Source organism: Homo sapiens, chromosome 11, assembly GCF_000001405.40.
Source record: "Homo sapiens chromosome 11, GRCh38.p14 Primary Assembly".
NCBI classification, from domain to species: domain Eukaryota; kingdom Metazoa; phylum Chordata; class Mammalia; order Primates; family Hominidae; genus Homo; species Homo sapiens.
Genome location: NC_000011.10, coordinates 93,148,937 through 93,168,666, shown reverse-complemented (window position 1 = coordinate 93,168,666; position 19,730 = coordinate 93,148,937). Strand labels below are relative to the sequence as shown.

At 34.1% G+C, this 19,730-nt stretch overlaps 1 protein-coding gene across 5 annotated transcripts in view; it reads left to right on the top strand.

Moving 5' to 3' along the window:
* SLC36A4 (solute carrier family 36 member 4) overlaps window positions 1-19,730 on the top strand; it is a 53,818-nt gene that overhangs the window by 29,325 nt on the left and 4,763 nt on the right. For 4 of the 5 annotated variants that reach the window (NM_152313.4, NM_001286139.2, XM_047426350.1 and 1 more), the window contains 4 exons: window positions 496-723; window positions 2,651-2,749; window positions 5,792-5,961; window positions 14,390-14,559. In NM_152313.4, coding sequence (NP_689526.2) covers window positions 496-723; window positions 2,651-2,749; window positions 5,792-5,961; window positions 14,390-14,559 — 667 coding nt within the window. Of the gene's footprint in view, window positions 1-495; window positions 724-2,650; window positions 2,750-5,791; window positions 5,962-14,389; window positions 14,560-19,730 lie in introns of those variants that run through there. The other variant, XM_047426352.1, reaches the window with a different exon arrangement.

Here is a 19,730-nt window from a genome sequence, read left to right as displayed (position 1 = left end):
TAAGGTTAGGCTATAATTTTAAAATTTTGCTCTGACTATATTTCTAAGAGATAATTGGAGCTTGTTTCCTATCTGAAGAAAATAAGCTAGAGGAGAATACTCAGTGGCCATCCTAGGTACAAGCATGGTTCCAAATTTGATGATCTCAAAAAGAGATACTTGAGCCTTTGGAGGTATCATGAGCATGATAGTCACAAAGCTTCAGAATACATTAGCAAATCTATCATTATAATTTTCTAATGAACTTTATATTTACAGTATGATAAAAGAAATTACCTTTCAAGATTATCTTACGTCAGTTATCCTTATATTTGATACATATGTTTCTAGGAAACCAGAGTATCTTGAAAAAATGTAAATGTAAATATTTTAAAATATATCATAGGAATTTATTGTAGAGTGTATATGTTGTGATTTTCTTTGTACATGTGTTTTATGATTGTAAGTTGATGGAAGTTTTTCCCCCTTCTTTATTCTCCTGGTAATCCTATGTAGGTTCATGAAGGATTCCTGGAGAGTAAAGTGTTTATTTCAAATAGTACCAATTCATCAAACCCTTGTGAGAGAAGAAGTGTTGACCTAAGGATATATATGCTTTGCTTTCTTCCATTTATAATTCTTTTGGTCTTCATTCGTGAACTAAAGAATCTATTTGTACTTTCATTCCTTGCCAACGTTTCCATGGCTGTCAGTCTTGTGATAATTTACCAGTATGTTGTCAGGGTAAGTATAAAAAGTTTTTAACTAAGTTCTTATCTTTCTTATGTAAGTAAAATTTTGTTTACTGTGGAGGTAAAAGTAATGATATGCAAAGACCCCTACTTCATATGTGGCACACAGTGTGCAATCAGTAAATGTTGGTTTCTTTTAGGGGGATGCTGCTGAGTTAGAAAAGTATATGACATAGAGATTAAACAGGCTTTGTGGTCAGATCTTGAATCTTGGTAAATAACGCCTCTGGGCTTTGTGACAGTGCTTCAGAAGATAGTAATGCCTACCCTATTAGAGTTATGAGACTTAGGATTGTGTTCTTAGTACAGTGCCAAACATGAAACCAGGTACTCATTAATATATATATATGCAATTCCATAATTTCCTTTCACTTCTGAACTTTTATTTGCTGCCACTGCTTCAGTCCACTGCCACTACACTAGTCTGTAATCCCTTTACCTGAAGTATATGCAATAACATCAACTGATTTCATTGTCCATAGTCTGGGGATTCTTAACCCAGTTTCCATAAAATAATCTATTGATGGGATTCAGGGATTCTTCAAATCCCTTAAAATAGTTTGCAAGATTTAGTATTTCTGTATGTATGTATGTGTTTTGCTGTTGAGCAGTTGTATAGCTTTCATCTTGCAAAGGTGTCAAAGACACAAAAAAGGTTGAGAATCCCTGTTCTAGTCACTCCTGATCTAATTAATCTTATATATTATTTCCAAGGTAATTGTTGTAAAATCTTCATTAGCAATTTATTAAAAATTCTTATTATGGATCTGTGTTTCATTTCCCTCCTCTTTGATTTTCAAAAGTTGTAGTTTCTCTTATAGCACTGAGTGGGAGGAAACAGACAGGAAGTTCATATAGGCTTTCCGGAGTTCATGACCCCTTAGCTAAACATGTAAGAGTCAGTTAAGCAGAAAAGGAGGTTTCCAAAATAGAAGGAACAGCGTGAGCTGCTGTTGGGAGAAGTGAAATAGCATCCTGCTTGCCTTAAATAATAGTTTAGCATTGAATGAGCCAAACATTGTAATACCCTTTCATTCTAAACCCAGTATATGGTTTTAGACATGTATCACCAGTATATCACACAGTTCTATCTATGCTTCAGATATTCTAGATCTCTCTATTCCCCAAATTATCCTAGAGCTTTCACACTTCAGTTGCTTTGTTCATTCTTTTTACTTGGCCTTGAATTCTGCTTCCAATCAGGCAAAGCAGAGAATGTAAGATGGTGAGAAGAGTAGGGACCAGACTTGGGGTATCTGGAAGAAGTGGCCATTTAGAGCCAATGTGTACTTTGTCCGGATGGTGAGATTTGGAATAAGCCTGTGAGTCAGGACCAAGCAATCAAAGCCAGAGTCAGGACATATATATTCAAATAATAAGGGTAATGACAACCATCAAATCAAATAGTAAGCACTGAAGCAAGAAGGAAACCTGTTTTGGGCAGCAGCAGAGCTATAAGGTAGAAAGCCAGTGTCAGGAACCAGGTATCTTAGAGAACTGAAAGAGCAATAAAAATAGAGTGGAGAATGAATTTCTGCTAGGCACCAGCAGCAGTGGTTGATAACTTGACTATATGGCTCTCAGCTTAGGCCTTGAGTGTGCTTATGTATTTCCTGTTGTGGCAGGAGCCATACCTAGTGTTCACAGCCTGGGACTTGCAGGTGGAAGCAGGTAATCAGGAGCATTTTGCTCAGATGGAATGTATGGGCATGAGGGAAACAATTGCTTTTGGCAGTGAAATCCTAACAGCTTGGCTACATTTAACAGAGGATGCTTTAAGTGTTTGTTGAAACAATTATTCAATTTTATAACACATTTGCTGTTGTGAAGCTCAAAATTATATGATTTTTCTTACATTTTTTAATTATTTAGAATAAGTAAAGATGTAACTGGTCTTCTTTTTTTCTTCCTTTCTTTAGAACATGCCAGATCCCCACAACCTTCCAATAGTGGCTGGTTGGAAGAAATACCCACTCTTTTTTGGTACTGCTGTATTTGCTTTTGAAGGCATAGGAGTGGTAAGAATTTAGTCTTTATTATTATTTTTTAAAATCTTAATTCAGCACAATGATTTATATAGCCTACCTGTATTTAAAATTGCATATTTTTCTTTTTTATTTCAATTTTCTTTACATGATTTCCAATTTGGTGTGATAGATTAGAATTATAGTTTAGTCCTTCCATTAACAAAGAACTTAATGTTAGACATACCACTTAGGCTCTCTACTTCTCTTTTTATTTATCTATAAAATGAAGAAATTAGCCAGATCATTTTTAACATTTTATTATGGAAAATTTCAAACCTATACAAAATTTAGAGAGTAGTATAATGAACTATGTAAACATCACCTGGCTTCAAAAATTATTAACTCAAGGCCAGTTTAAAAAAAATCTATATCCCACATACTCAGGCACATCTGAAGCATATTTTATAGATGAGATTATCTGAAGGTAATCAGAATAGTTGCAGAATCACTGCTATATAAAAAGTTGGATGTAAATTCTCCCTATAGTTTTATGAATATAATGTTTGTTTTGAGAAACAGTGTTATAAAGCTAATACCAAGAGAGACTCCAAAGATTCTGAGGATTCTAAGATATTAAATATTGCCATTCAGGTAGCTCCCAGTTTATTTAATGCCTAACATTTGTAGACTTGGGGAAAATAGAATCTTGCTGTCTGCTTTGCTCCATAGTTTATGTTTCATAGTCTGATGATCTGGTATGGGAGCAAAACCATTTGTAAACATCTATTTATACTAACCCCAGACAAAATAGATCTAAAATAAAATTTTATAACATTTTACTTGGGTTTCTGCTCTCTGTGAATTCTCCTTTAGATAATTCTCCCAAATTCTTACAAATTTTCACAGCTACAATTATTGCTGTTGTAAACGTAACTACAGATTTTCATGTTTGTCTTTAACTCATGAGCACTAGTTAACTGTTGACATTTCCTTAGGATCTCAAATTCAACAATTCCAAAGTCTGACATGTATTTTCTCATCTAAAACCAGCTTTACTTTCTCATTTTCCTTTTTCTTTCTGTTTTATCTTCAGTTGCTTAAGCTTGAAACACTGGAGTGATTCCTTTTACTTTGTCCTTGGTTCTCTATTTCAATCAATAATTAAGGCATGTTGACTTTTCTTTTATATTTCTCAAATTCATTCCATAAAGGAGACTATACATAAAACACCTATAATGCTGCGTGACACAGAAGGCCTCAGGAAATGTTCATTTCTTTCTCTTTCTCCCTTGCTGCACTGCCACCATTCTTGGCCACTGCCTGTATTTCTGCTCTGGATTATCTCCATAGCATCCAAACTGTTCTCTGCCCTCTTGCTGCTATTAACAGTTCATGTTTCCATATGGAACTGACTGACTTATATGAAAAGTGGAAAAAATACTAGATTTATCATCTCATAGAGTTATTGTGAGGATTGCATAAAATGCTGCATGCAAAGCTTTTAGAATCATACCTGGCATATCATAAACACTCCAGTAAATACTTGCTATTATTGTTACTTAGGTCTTTGACTGTATGGCCTAATTTTATGGTTACAATCTCTGAAGATTTGCCTTAAAAACTTGGTTTTTCAGTCAGCCTTTTCTTATTTTCTTTAAAGGTTCTTTTTCAATAAAATAAAAATTATTAGTTTTACTGAATTTGACAGACAGTAGATACAGGTGGGTAGATGTAAAACCAGTTACACGTATGTGAGTATACATGGGTTAGTATACATGCATATACTTCCTAGTTCTGTCTCCTGAGAGAGGCTGCAAGTAGTGATACCCCAGTATCAACAAGCACACACCCAGATCTTGATTTCCAAATACCAGATCTTCATTTCTAATTACCATTCTACAAGAGAATCAAAGTTCTTTGGAGAAATGGCTGATTTTAGGGCTGAAGCAAGGAAATGCAAGATGAGGCTAAAGCATCTTGTAGTGTCAGAAGGTAAGAATATGTTCAAGAAACAAAAGAATGGAGGCAAGTCAAAGGACCACAGAAGCCAACCTGATGGAATTTACAATGGGCAAAAGTGGAATAATATGAGTAACAAAACAAATAACAGAATTTTGGATTGTAATTCAATATTTAAAAAAAAATACATAGGGTCATGCTAATATACATACATACATACATACATACATACATGAGAATCCTAGAAACCCTCCTCCCTCCAGGCGATAGAACTAATCCCCCTCCTACTCCCCAGAGAAGGAGCTGGATTTAGGGACTTGGCTTTCAATAAACAGAGTATGATGAGAGGGAATAAAAGTAACTGTACAATAGAGAAACCTGGCAAACACTACCTTAACCAAATGATGAAAATTAACTTCACCAGTGATAAACCATGTTAATAACGTGTGATGAGACAGGCACTTCACCTCTAGGTTATCCTTCTCTAAAACCTACAATACCAGTCCAGTCATGAGAAAAACCTCAGAAAAACCTAAATGGAGGGGTTTTATGTAAAATACCAAACCAGTACTCCTTAAAACTGGCAAGATAATGAACAACAAGCAAGGATTGAGAAACGATCAGACAGGAGGCATGGTGACAAAATGCACTGTGGGTATCCTGGATGGAGCTCTGGGACAGAAAAAGGATATTAATGGAAAAACTAATGAAATCCAAATGAAATTTGCAGTTTAGTTAATAGTGATGTACCAATATTGGTTTTTAGTTGTCGCAAATGTACTATCGTAATATAAAAAGTTAATGGTAGGAGAAACTGGGTGAGGGGTATATGGGAGATCTCTGTGTTATCTTTGTAACTTTTCTGTAAATCTAAAATTATCCCAAAATAAAAAGGTTATTTAAAAAAAAAACTAACAGGTTTGCCTGCCAAGAGATGAGTTTAAATCTTTTTAAGAAGTTTAAAATAGGTAGTATAAATATATAGCAATGGAAGTGTACTTCAACAATTATATGTGTTTTAAAGGAAAAAAATTTGCATATAGGCTATAAACAACCAATTTGTATGTATAAGAGACACTGTTATTTTTAAATACTTGTATTCCCTTAAAAAAAAGTATTGTATTCTTTTCTTAGGTCCTTCCACTGGAAAACCAAATGAAAGAATCAAAGCGTTTCCCTCAAGCGTTGAATATTGGCATGGGGATTGTTACAACTTTGTATGTAACATTAGCTACTTTAGGATATATGTGTTTCCATGATGAAATCAAAGGCAGCATAACTTTAAATCTTCCCCAAGATGTATGGTAGGTGTATATGAATTTGTCAATATTAGTTTATATATTTTATAATGTACCACTGTTTGATGATAAAGTCGTGTTCTTGGATTTATGGTTTAAACATTTAAAATTTTTACTGTGATTTCCTGGAATCCCATCACTTTGGGAGGCAGAGGTGGGCGGATCACCTGAGGTCGGGAGTTCAAGACCAGCCTGGCCAACATAATGAAACCCCATCTGTACTAAAAATACAAAAATTAGCCAGGCGTGGTGGCGGGTGCCTATAATCCCAGCTACTCAGGAGGCTGAGGCAGGAGAATCGCTTGAACCCGGGAGGCGGAGGTTGCAGTGAGCTGAGATCACACCATTGCAATCCAGCCTGGGTGACAAGAGCGAAACTCCGTCTCAAAACAAAAAAAAAATTACTGTGATTTATTTATTTGTGCAATCTGGAATTTTTTCATAATCTTCGTAGGAGACCAAATATGAACTTAGGGTTCTTGTGGGATTTTTAAAAAAATATTTAAAATTGGAGTTTTTTCCAAATCCAAGTCAAGTATAAGAGTAGAACAGGGATTATTTTAATATGGACACGTTTTAATAAAAAAATTAATACTTGTCCTTATTGCCAAAAAAGCCAAACACTCACGCTTCCTAATAAAATAATAGATTACATCATTTATGGTCCTTGCTATTTTGGTCAGCTTCATAGTGTATATTTTCCAAGTCCTTTCAGAACACAGTTGGGACACATTATAAATAATAAAACAAAATGGTGCATCATCTTAATGTTCTCTTTCATATTGGGACCATATCCTGCTAAATGAAGCATCATATGTATATGATTTTTCCTTTTTCCAGAGGTTTGTCTTTGGAAAATTTTCAAAGATAGTGGCAGTGATTACCATGCAGACTTACTTCCTTATTTACAAGATGGAAGGTAACTCCTTAGTTTTCACATACGCAAAGAATAAATTTGGAATCGCTGATTGAATTATTGTCACACTACTACTTTAGCTACTTGGATTAAAAAAATCTGTGTAATCTTAAATGTCTTACTATATTAGTGAAAAAGCAACAACAGCAGAAATTATATCTTCTGACTGGCCTCCTGGTGAGAATTTGTCTGTCATTTAATAGTCATTTGAATCCTGGGCATTTATTGGAGTCAAAAATGTTGCTAGGACAAATGTTTGTAGGAAGCCATTTATGACAGAGCAAATGGACCTAGGATAGTTTCCACATTGCACAAGGAGCATACATGTGGTGTGTCTGTATTTTTAAATTACAATTTAACTTCAGCTAACATAAATGTATTTCAAAATGGAAACATGTCTCAAATGTTACAAATATATTTCAAGGTGGAGTTATTATTACAAATAAGATATATGGTTATTTAGCATTTATTTTATTAACTCTTTATAGTTAATTATATAATTTTATTGCCTTCAAATGTGCTTTTTGGTTTCAAGCTTAAACAGCTTAGTATAAGAGAATCAAGCTAAAAATATGGTAGTAAGTTCATCTTTTCAAATACTGTACAATGTTTGGAAAATAGAATGATATTTTTTCCTCATTTAGAAGAATATTTTGAGCCGGGTATGGTGGCTTATGTCTGGAATCCCAGTGCTTTGGGAGGAAAAGGTGGGAGGATCACTTGAGGCCAGAAGTTTGAGACTAGCCTGCATAACATAGTGAAACTCCAAATCTACACAGAATTTAAAAATTAGCCAGGCATGGTGGCACAAGTCTGTAATTGCAGCTATTTGGGAGGCTGAGTGGGAGGATCACTTGAGCCTGGGAGGTTGATTATACAGTGAGCTGTGATGGTACCACTGCACTCCAGCCTGGGAAACAGAGAGACATTTTGTCTCAATAATATTAATAATAACAATAATATTTTGACTAGGTCTTAAAAATAATCATTTCAGAAATTGACAACTATTTTTAATGCCAAATGTAAAAGGTACATGGAAATAATGTCAAAATTCTTTCCCGGTCTTATTTACAAAAGCATGTAAGGAATATTTTAGGGGGGAAGTTTCCAAAGTGGGAGTGTGCACACATTCACATTGAAAGGTTTGTATTACCAGGCACATAAGAATGTGGTGTAGAAATAGTGGGCGAGAATAAGACAGAATGCTTTTGGTATTCACAACTCAATCTTGGAGGGTGACACTGTCCCTGCAGTAGCTCCAATTAATCCTTCCCTTTTCCCACAGCCCCTTTCTACATCTGACCTTATTCCTAATTGCTGTGACTTTCCAATTAGAATGGAACTAGTTGAGACTCTTGATTTAAAAGGGACCATTAGATCATAGTTTCTATTCAAGGAAGTCTAGCTAGACACCACCTTTCATTAGAGGAAACCCTAGTACAAGTATCCTAAGAAACAACAAAAATCTGGAAAAAACAGGAAAGCCAGTCAAGACACATATTTCCCTTTAGAGAATTTGCATTGGTTAATGCCTTTGCACTGTGGAGATATGCCCTATGCAGCCTATAGTCTGTTTCTGTGTGGACTCTGCAGTTGTGGGACAATTAAAATAATAGTCACAACTGAGGAATACAAGAGAAGAGTTGCTTGTCTTTTTACAGTCATGGCATTCTGTAAAGTGAGAAGTTTGGACTAGAATAATCATGGGATTACATTTAAGATTTCTTTCTTAATATACTATATACGAGTCTCTCTTTCACTTCTTTCCTGTGCTTCACACAAGAGGCCTCGAAAGTTAGAGATTGTGCAGTGTACTCTATTGGCAGAGTATGAAAGCCAATGACTGTTACAAGAGTATCCTAGAGAACTAATGGCTACTAGCTATGAAAAGCTGTAAAGGGCTTTTGGTACAGATTGGCAAAGTCTCAGAGTATATTAGGGTTATTTCTGCAAGAAAAGATTGAATTAGAAAGAGGCCATAGGATAAAGCAAGTATGGATTAGAGAAGCTCCAAGTTATTATTACCCTTAATCTTTCTGAACTGTCATCTTTGAAAATTAGTTATGAGTAATACTGTACATGTATTGCATTTAGCTTTTGAAGTAAAGAATGTATTTTAAAGGTTTTACTAGTTCAAGGCATTCAATCTAGTGATAAATGCTACATAACCATAGTTGTCTTAGTTTTTAGCCTAGAATGAGATGAGGCTCTTGGCAAGGATTGCAGATAGTTCTCAATTAAGATGACTTCTTGACAGAGCTAAATCCTCAAGATTCTCAGCCTGAGCATCATGAAGGATCCAAGAGGGAAAGTGCCTTACCAGGTTATTTCTAACGGTAGCTTCTGTATTCAACCTTGAGAGACAGAGAAGCAGTCACCAACTTATTTCCCAAGTTGGTTTTTAAAAAATTTTAAGTTATTCATACCTGAAGGTTGACTTATTAGCCAATGTGGGGAAAAGAATAAAAGCATTATAAATTTTGATATTCTATGTTTTCAAAACTAATATTTTCACTGGAACATTAAGTTGTTTTCTCCCTATAATCTGATTCAATATATTGGCTGAAAAATAATTATTAAAAATACATTTCTGTCCTTTACTAAGGTATTAAATTCTTTACTATCATTATAATAGATTTTGTTTCCAAGCATAAATCATTTTATTCTTTGAAGTGCTATTAATATTTTTCATGTTGAATGGTTGTAGTTTCTAAGAATTACCTATCCATATCTATTTTGATAATTAATATTTAATAAGTATCAATCACCTATTAATACTAAGTGCATTGAAGGGATATACAGAGAAGAATTAGTCTGTAACTCTCAGGAGCTTTGGCAGCGAGGAGTTTTAAAAGACCTTTTAATGTACACTAAATGTTGTTTAAAGTTGTTTGATGTTTTTTGTACCCTCAAAACAAATTCCTGTGACTTTAAGAAAGTTTATTATTCTTTAGAAAGAGGGTTTACTGGGTAGATTTTTCCTTTCAATGTTCTTCATTTCTAAAACGTAGTACAAAAGAAGCCTTACAATAGATGCTGCTTAAAACCAAAATGAAGAAAAGGTTGTGATAATAGCTATACAAAAGTTGTAGAGAAAAATAGTTTAAAGTGATTGAAAATATAGATTCCAAACATAGAAATAAGTGGGTTCTTGAAACAGAAAAGGAGTAGGAGTGAAACAGTTCATATTAAACTGTGGCACTTTTTAAAGATGCCCTCTTGTTTCTATATAACTATTCTTTTGTTGATTAGTAGATATACCAACTTCTAAAAGATCCACACCATTTTATTTCCCATTTTTACTCTTTGTAACACCAAATAGTAATATTTGCATATAATTAACGATATTAATAATAACCAGATTCTTAGCCGATGTGACTTTGTCAATAAAAAAGTAATAGTACTTACATGCAAAATGATGTATTTTTATTTTAAAAAATGTTAAATATATTATTACCACATTTTAAAAATACATAAGTGAAAAGATAATTAATTAGAAAAAGGAATGTCCTGTTAAACTAATTAACTAACAAGAATATTTGTTTAATTATCCACAGTTACATATCAGAGTATAGGAAACACGTGTCTTTCAGTTATGTGGTATATATTTGGTAACTTGACCATTTATGTGTAACCTTTAAGCCTCAAGCTGAGAAATACATCCTTAGCTAATTTTTAAAATTAAGTTTTAAATGTTGTTAGCTCTAAGGAGTTCTTTCCTTCCTAATTGTGATGTGTATCTTCAAATCTGTTTTTATTCAGCTCTTAAATTTCTTCTTACTCTTGTATGATAAATATGTTATAGCAGAATACTATTGAATCTCTTCTTGCTTGGCCATAGTTTACAGGCTGTTTATAATCCTTATTACTCTCACCACTTCTGTTCAACATAGTATTGGAAGTCCTGGCCAGAGCAATCAGGCAAGAGAAAGAAACAAAGGGCATCCAAATAGGAAGAACTGCAAGATCTGCAAACTATCCCTGTTTTCAGATGACATGATCCTATATCTCGAAAACCCCATAGTAAGCCCAAAGGCTTCTTAAGCTGATAAGCAACTTCAGCAAAGTCTCAAGCTGCAAAATCAATGTGCAAAAAACATCAACATTTCTATACACCAATAACAGTCAAGCTGAGAGCCAAATCTTTATGTGGCAATTGTGAATGGTATTGTGTTGCCACAATTCACAATTGCCACATAAAGAATAAAATACCTAGGGATACAGCTAACCAGGGATGTGAAAGATCTCTACAACAAGAATTACAAAACACTGCTCAGAGAAATCAGAGATGACACAAACAAATGGAAAAACATTCCATGCTCATGGATAGGAAGAATCAATATCATAAAAATAGCCACACTGCCCAAAGCAATTTATAGTTTTAATGCTATTCCTATTAAACTGCCATTGACATTCTTCACAGAACTAGAAAAAACTATTTTAAAATTCATGTGGAACCAGAAATGAGCCTGAAGGGTCAAGGCAGTCCTCAGCAAAAAGAACAAAGCTGGAGGCATCACACTACCCAACTCTAAACTATACGAGAGGGCTGTAGTAACCAAAACAGCATTGTACTGGAACAAAAACAGACACATAGACCAATGGAACAGAATAGAGAGCCCAGAAGTAAGGCCACACACCTGCAACTATTTGATCTTTGAAAAACCTGACAAAAACAAGCAATGGGGAAAGGATTCGCTATTCAATAAATGGTGCTAGGATAACCAGCCAGCCATATGGGATAGACTGAACTGGACCCCTTCCTTACACCATATACAAAAAATTAACTCAAGATGGAGTAAAGGCTTAAATGTGAAACCCCAGACTATAAAAACCCTGGAAGAAAATACCATTCTGGACATAGGAATGGGCAAAGATTTTATGATGAAGACTCCAAAAGCAATTGCAACAAAAGTGAAAATTGACAAATGGGATCTAATTAAACTAAAGAGCTTCTGCACAGCACAGAAAACTATCAACAGAGTGAACAGGCAACCTACAGAATGGAAGAAAATTTTTGCAAACTATGCATTGAACAAAGGTCTAATATCCAGCATTTAAAGGAACTTCAAGAAATTTATAAGAAAAGAATCTCATTAAAAAGTGGGCAAAGGGCTTGGGAGGCCAAGGCGGGCAGATCACAAGGTTAGGAGTTTGAGACCAGCCTGGCCAATATGGTGAAACCCCATCTCTACTAAAAATACAAAAATTAGCCAGGTGTGGTGGCAGGCGCCTGTAGTCCCAGCTACTTGGGAGGTTGAGGCAGGAGAATCGCTTGAACTGGGGAGGTGGAGGTTGCAGTGAGCTAAGATTGAGCTGCTGCACTCCAGCCTGGGCAACAGAGTGAGACTCCACCCCAAAAAAAAAGAAAAAAAAAAGTGGGCAAAGGACGTGAACAGACACTTCTCAAAAGAAGACATACATGCCGCCAACAGTCATATGAAAAAAAAATGCTCAACATTACTGATCATTAGAGAAATGCAAATCAAAACCACAGTGTGATACCATCCCACACTTGTCAGAATGGCTATTACTAAAAAGTCGAAAAATAACATGCTAGTGAGCTTATGGAGAAAAAGGAACAACACTTATTATAAACTGTTGATGGGAGTATAAGTTAGTTCAAGACATTGTGGAAGACAGTGTGGCGATGCCTCAAAGACCTTAAAACAGAAATGTCATTTGATCCAGTAGTCCCATTACTGGGTTTATACCCAAAGAAATATAAATCATTCTATTAGAAAAACACATAAATACCTTTGTTCATTGCAGCACTTTTCACAATAGCAAAGATACGGAATTAACCTAAATGCCTGTCAGTGATAGATTGGATAAAGAAGATGTGGTACATATACATCATGGAATACTATGCAGCCATAAAAAAGAATGAGATAATGTTCTTTGTAGGAACATGGATGGAGCTGGAGGTCATTACCCTTAGCAAACTAACATGGGAACAGAAAACCAAATACCACATATTCTTACTTATAAGTGGGAGCTAAATGATGAAAACGCGGACACATGGAGGGGAACAACACACACTGGGGCCTATTGAGGGTGAAGGGTGTGAGGAGGGAGAGGATCAGAAAAAATAACCAATGGGTACTAGGCTTAATACCTGAGTGATGAAATAATCTGTACAACAAGCCCCCATGACACAAATTTACCTATATAACCTGCACATGTACCCCTGAACTTTAAAAGTCAAATTAAAAAATCCTTACTACTTTAAGTCTTAAGACATCAGAAATAAAGCTCCATTAATGTCGACATTTATATACTTATATATTAAGTACATTTATACTTAAAGCTTCATTAATGTCAAGGTTTATATACCTTGACATTATATACCAAAAGTAGAATATAATCCTTTTAAAATGATTGCATTTTTTTGTAAGAAAGAAAACACTCTTCCCTGTGCATGGGAATTTTAGGTGGGAAAGTAGAACTCTTAAATGAGAAAACCGTGGGAAGATGTTTCTGCTGAAAGAGGACATATGTGTTAATCACTGCCCCGAAGTTGCAGCACACTGAACCCACAGTGTTTTCTCTGCTTTGTTACTTAAAAAATGCAAGATGGTTGGGTTTTTCTTTTGAATTTTATAAAATATTAAAATGTTTTTTTAAATACAGCATATTAATTTTATTATTCTGCAACCCTAAAGAGTGGATTCTGTAATGTTTCTTCCTCTAGGTCCTACAATTCTGTTTTCTCTTCATGTCATTAACGTTTAAAAAGTCTTCTTTTTCTGGGCTTAAGAAAGTTACTGAAGTCTTTATCAAGACATGCATGCGAAGTTTTGACAGGAGGTTATCCATAATGTAGAAATCTAAAGATATTTATAAAACTGAAAATTGCTGTGCTGTTTTGAAGCACTGTATATCAAAGAGATAAGTTAATTTGCCCAAAAGAATAACAACAACCTTACCCAGCAACTGTATGTCTCTTATTTAATGTAATTTTAAACAATAGATTGTATGTGTAATTTAGAGAACTTAGCAAGTTGAAACCGTTTAGATGTCTGCTTTTAGACTTAAGATGGATGACATTTCTGCAACTGATGACATACCTCCAAAGATTTTCACCCAAGAACTATACTTAAGTTTAATGTGAGTTTTTCTTCTATGTAAAGATCAACGAGGGTATGACTCAGGATTTAAGACATATAGTAGGCTCAGTTTTTAAAAAGAAAGTTGAGAAAACTTTAGCTCTTTGAGGGGCTGAGTCTAACCTTCAGAATATTGGCTTATCCCAAAGTGAAATCTTTTTACCACTATACCCTAAACCCTGGCATGCATGTTCAAGCTTTCCAGTCTTGTGAAAATGAATTGTTCTTGTATCATCTAGAAATTTAGTTAGAGATCAATTTGCCTTTTTTACAAACAAGCATTTTTAGTTAGTAAGGTTCTGGCCTAATTTGGTATTCTGGATTTCTTATTTATCTTAATATTAAAAATAAAGGAGGAAAACTAAATTCACATTAAAAATGACTAAATTTTGAAAATTTTTTTCAACAGGTTATATCAATCAGTGAAAATTCTATATTCCTTTGGCATTTTTGTGACATATTCAATTCAGTTCTATGTTCCAGCAGAGATCATTATCCCTGGGATCACATCCAAATTTCATACTAAATGGAAGCAAATCTGTGAATTTGGGATAAGATCCTTCTTGGTTAGTATTACTTGTAAGTATCATTATATATTTATATCATAATAATTTTTTATTGTTCAATTTCTTGAAAGCTATATAAGATGTAATTTCTTAAAATGAAAGCTACATAAGATGTATTTTTCAATATTTTTAAAACAATTTTATTCACCCAGCTGGGTTACTTTTCAGGTTAAAATTCAATTTTTCTACTACTACATAAGAAAAACACAAACCAGATCCTATCACACTTAAAATAACTAATGAAGTTATTTTGAAAATTACATTACTGGTGATTAAAATAATGTGTACATGGGACCCCTTCCATTTCTGATACACATTTTATTTTGGTTCTAGTTTTTCTCAGGTTTTTCATTCCTGTTTTTGTATATTTTAACAGTTTACTTCTTCATAACTACCTACAGGAAAGTGTTTAATTTTACTTGTATTGGTCTTTCATAATTTTAGTGTCTTATTTTCTTATTATTTGAAGAAGTGTATATAATCTTTTATTAAGACTCTTCATCATAAAATGCCTTCTCAAGGTAGCATTCATAATAGAGACTCATGGAAAGGGAGCTTGAGTTCAGTATAGTGGAAAGAGTGTAAGTTTTGGAGTCAGACAGATCTGGGAATTCAAAGTCAAGCCTATCACTTACTCGGTGGTGTCTTTAGGCAAGTTACATGCCATTGTTGAGCCCCTCTTTCCTCAACTGTGAAATGAAGATAAAACTTCCTTATGGCATTTTGATGGGGTTAGAAATAATATTAACAAAGTATTAATAGCTGGAAGTTATGATCATTATTGTAACCATTACTGTAACTACAAATATACAGATGATTACATCACCAAACTAAACTGGGATTGCCTAAAATGATACCAGGGACCAGATTACTAGTGTTCTGGGGAACAAGCAGCTTTGGAAATTCCTTGTGTAAGATATTAATAAACATCTTGCACTATTTAGAATAGTAGAGCTAGAAATTCGGGGCAACTCAATAAATTGATTTGAGCAGCCTGCCATGGAGCTCATGCCTAGATTTAAAGAATTGAGTGTATTATATTTTGTTTGAAATGGGAAATGCAAAGCTGAAAAAGTAGATAAAATGTATTTTTCGAAGTAATTACTTAAATGAATTATATCACTAATAAGAGAAATCATATTAACAAATGAAGTCAATAAGCCCATACTCTGATGACAAATGAAAAAACATTCAGTAGGAAAAAGATATTTTAAGACATTTTGAAGTATTTTTATACATTTATTTTATTGACATTTTGGTAATGACTAAATAAAAAGACTAATTTCAGTAAAAGTGTTTTTATCAATAGATGTAAGACAATTCTATTCTGAAAGTATATCGTCTTTTAAAGTTGGTAATGGAAATTCAGGTAAAGGAGTTTGAGGGCAATGGGAAAAGGGGTCTAGGATTTTTTTATAACTTCACCCATTTCTGTATATTGGCTGGCATTGTTGTATTGAAGTTATGAATCAGCTGAGGCACAGACCACGCCACATCTGCTTCCATGAGTTTGTTTCCAGAAGCCAGGGGCTTAGTTCATAGCACAGAGAACTGCAGCCTTTTCTTGGCTGCTGCTTTCTTTTAGTTAAAAGTCATTAAAGCTTCTCATCCATATATGGGATATGCCTTGGAGAAAGGGAACAAAAACTGTAATATTTCCTTCTGCTATATTGGGACACATCACTGGACACTGAACCTGAACTTCATTTGTGTCTTTGGCACATATCCTTCCAAATTAAAGTAAAAGCCAACTGATATTCATGGCAAAACTGCTTTTTAATTCTGTTTTCCAAAGCACTTGAAAAGATTTGGGGGCGTACACTTTACTGATAAATGTGTGTAGACAGTTGATGGGACTTTGTCATGTTTGTAGAGTAGGCTGTGCAGCAGCACTAGCAATGAGAGTGGAGGCTCAGCCTGATTTGCATTGAAAATTGAATGTCTTTCAATGTTCCATAATCCTTTCCAAGTACTGAATCCATGTTTGTTGTATTAGTCCTTAAAGAAGTGGACTTATCAGCTTGGATTATGTTGGTTGTGTCCAAGTATCCATTTAGCATTTGAATCATGATCTCAAAATATCTTCTTAGTGAAATTCAAAAACTTTAGAAATGATTCAGACTCCTCCTGCGTGTTCCCTTTAGGTGCTTACCTGGTATATAGGCACCTCACAAGTGAGGGAGGAGGGACGGTAGAAACCAGCCAAAGGTCACCATGGACATAAATACCTTTTAAGAGTAAACCTGTACTATGAGCCATTACATTTTTAAATGTATTATAATAAACACTGAGACCAGTGTTTCAATTCTGTGTATGAATTGAATCAACAAAATATACTAAGTACTATTTACTTCTGTTACTCTCTAATTTGTTGATCCTTCTACTGTTTGTAATTTTTTAAAAGTCCTTGTTTTTATAATCTATAGTAGACTATGACTTTATAAGTATCAAAACCTATAAATCTTTAGTAGTTTGTAGAGAAAACCCACTAAAATCCTTCATTTAAGTTAGTTGCCTCTGCAGACTAGAAAAGTACCATTCTGTTTCCTGATATCCTGTCTTAGAGTCGGTATGTGGAGAGCACCATTAACTATTTGTATAATTAAAATGAATGTGCTAAGTTATTTTCCACATTTTTGTTTTTGGTGCTGTAATATCAAGTGCTTTGTTTTGTGTTCTGATGTATCTGCATTTACCCTTCAGATGCAAATAATGGACCTAAATAGGCTTTTATTTTAATATCAGAGGGAACTTTATGCTCTAAGGATACATTCTTTTTCTTGCTATATATAGTTTTGGTAAATACTGAATAAGTGTGATTAGTACTTAATAGATCTATTCATAATAGCTGTCTGTAAATGACATAGTATTTGTAATGAATAAAACTATCCTTATTTTAAACTCTGCTTTGAGTTTTTATTAATATATGTTGGATTTGGCTAAAAGTATGTATACTTGTCTTCTTTGTCTACTAATAACATTACCAATAGCATATTTCAAACCATTTTTACAAGCAAATATCTTTTGGTAATATAATGTTTAAAATCTGACTTTAAACAGATTTTAGATGAGAATTATACTTCATGATTTAAAAGTGTTTGCTAGATGGAAATTTTGTCTATAAATTCTAAAGTGCTATAGTATTCCCCCACATAGTTTTCCAACAATATTTCACTTGATTTACTAGTGACAGCTTGGATTATAGATAAACAAAGAAAAATGGATTCCAAATTGAAAGCCTCTTCAGGTGGCAAGATTCTGGTCATATTTGTCTGGCCTCACTTTTATACTACTACTTACTATAAGTAGGTGAAACAAACATGTCTCCACAAATGATTATGTTCAATGAATTTTGAGAGGTCCTAACTATGTTTGAGAGTTATGCTCTATAGCTCCCTAGAGAGCAAAGTTAAAAGGCTATATATGTAACAAGCATCTATTAGACGAATAATCTACTTTATAAAGTATTTCTACTTTCGAGGTCTTTAGAGCTAGTTATTTCTACTTCTTTAGAGTCAATTATTTCATTTATAAAGGGTTATGCCACTTCAGCCCTATAGATGTAAAGCTACGTTTATAATTTCAAAACAGTTTTTAGGGCTTTAGCTTTCATAATAATTTGAATACAGAATGATAAATAATAACTTCTGGTTATATGAGGAACATGGTGGGAACTTAGTTCCAAGTTGATCCCACAACCTCCTGGAAAATATTGAAAGCCACAGAAAGAATAGAAAAAGGAAAAAATAAAACGTCATAAATTGAAAATTAAGAAGTAGAGAAACCATTGTACTGCAAGCTGAAAACTAAATTACTAACAGGAATATATGTGTCTCCAACACATGCCATAATTGGAGTCCCCAAAGAGGAAATGTGGTGATATAATCGTCATCGATGGCAGTGGTGATGTACTTGTCACAGCCTGTATATGAGCAAACACAGGTGTTATTTCTGGTGGCAACTCCAGACCCTCAACAAATCATTTAACAAAACCGTTAAGGACAAATAAAGAAGGAATATGAGTCTTGGTTTTTGCAAATCTTCTGTTGATGCATTTTGATAAGATCAAGAAAGCGCCAGACCAGAACTTGCAGAAAACTCATCAACAGTTTGGAAATCTGCTGACAATAGTGGAGTACTATTTTTTTTAAACTTTTCATTTTGAAGTAATTTAGACAGAAAGGGTGTAAAAGAAAGTAGTTACCATAAACCTCTACTCAGCTTCCTCTGATGTTCACAGCTTCCATAATCACAGTACAGTTATTAAAACCAAGAAATTAGCATGGATACAATGCTATTAACTACTTTATAGACCTTATGATAATCTTGCCAGTTTTCCCACTAAGATCCTTTTCTGGTCCAGGACATAAGCCATGGTCCCACTTGAATTTAGCTGTCATACTCATTTGTGTCTTCCAATCTTGACTGTCCTTGACTTTCTTTGTCTTTCTTGACCTTCACACTTTCGAAATGTCAGTAATTGTGTAGAATTTCTTTCAATTTGAATTTTTCTGATGCTTTCTCATGATTAGGTTGAAGTTAAGCATTTTTAACAAGAATCCCACAGAAGTGATGCTGTGCACTTCTCAGTGTATCACATCATAGTATCAGTGTCTTATTGGTGATGTTAATTTTGTTTACTTGGCTAAGGTGGTCTGTTGACTTATTTCTCCACTGTAAAGCTACTAGTTCTCCTTTTATAATTAATAAGTATCTTGAAGGAAGATATTTTGAAACTCTGATCTCATCCAGTTTTTGCCCACTAATTTCAGCATTCATCAGTGACTCTTCCTATCCTGTGATTATTGTGGTATTTGCTTAATGCTTTTCTGTTTCCATTGTTCCTTCTATTTTGATTAATTGGAATTCTACTTTAAGGAATAGCTATCTCTTCTCTCTCATTTATTTATGTCCCACCACTCTATGTCTTGTGCGTTATTGAGCTGTATGGGCAGACAAAGTAATGCAAATGCTCTGGAAATAAACTATCAAAACTTCTTTGCCCAGAATTTTAAAGCAAAAAATTAAAAGTTGTTTACATAAGAAACTGTTGACAAGTGTAAGTCTAGGACATGTCACTCACTATTTTGGTCTTTCTGTCTCTCTCTAGCTTAGAACAAAATATGGCAGATTTTTTTCACAAGCAATAGTTTAGTAGTTCAACTTTCATTAATTATTTCTAGT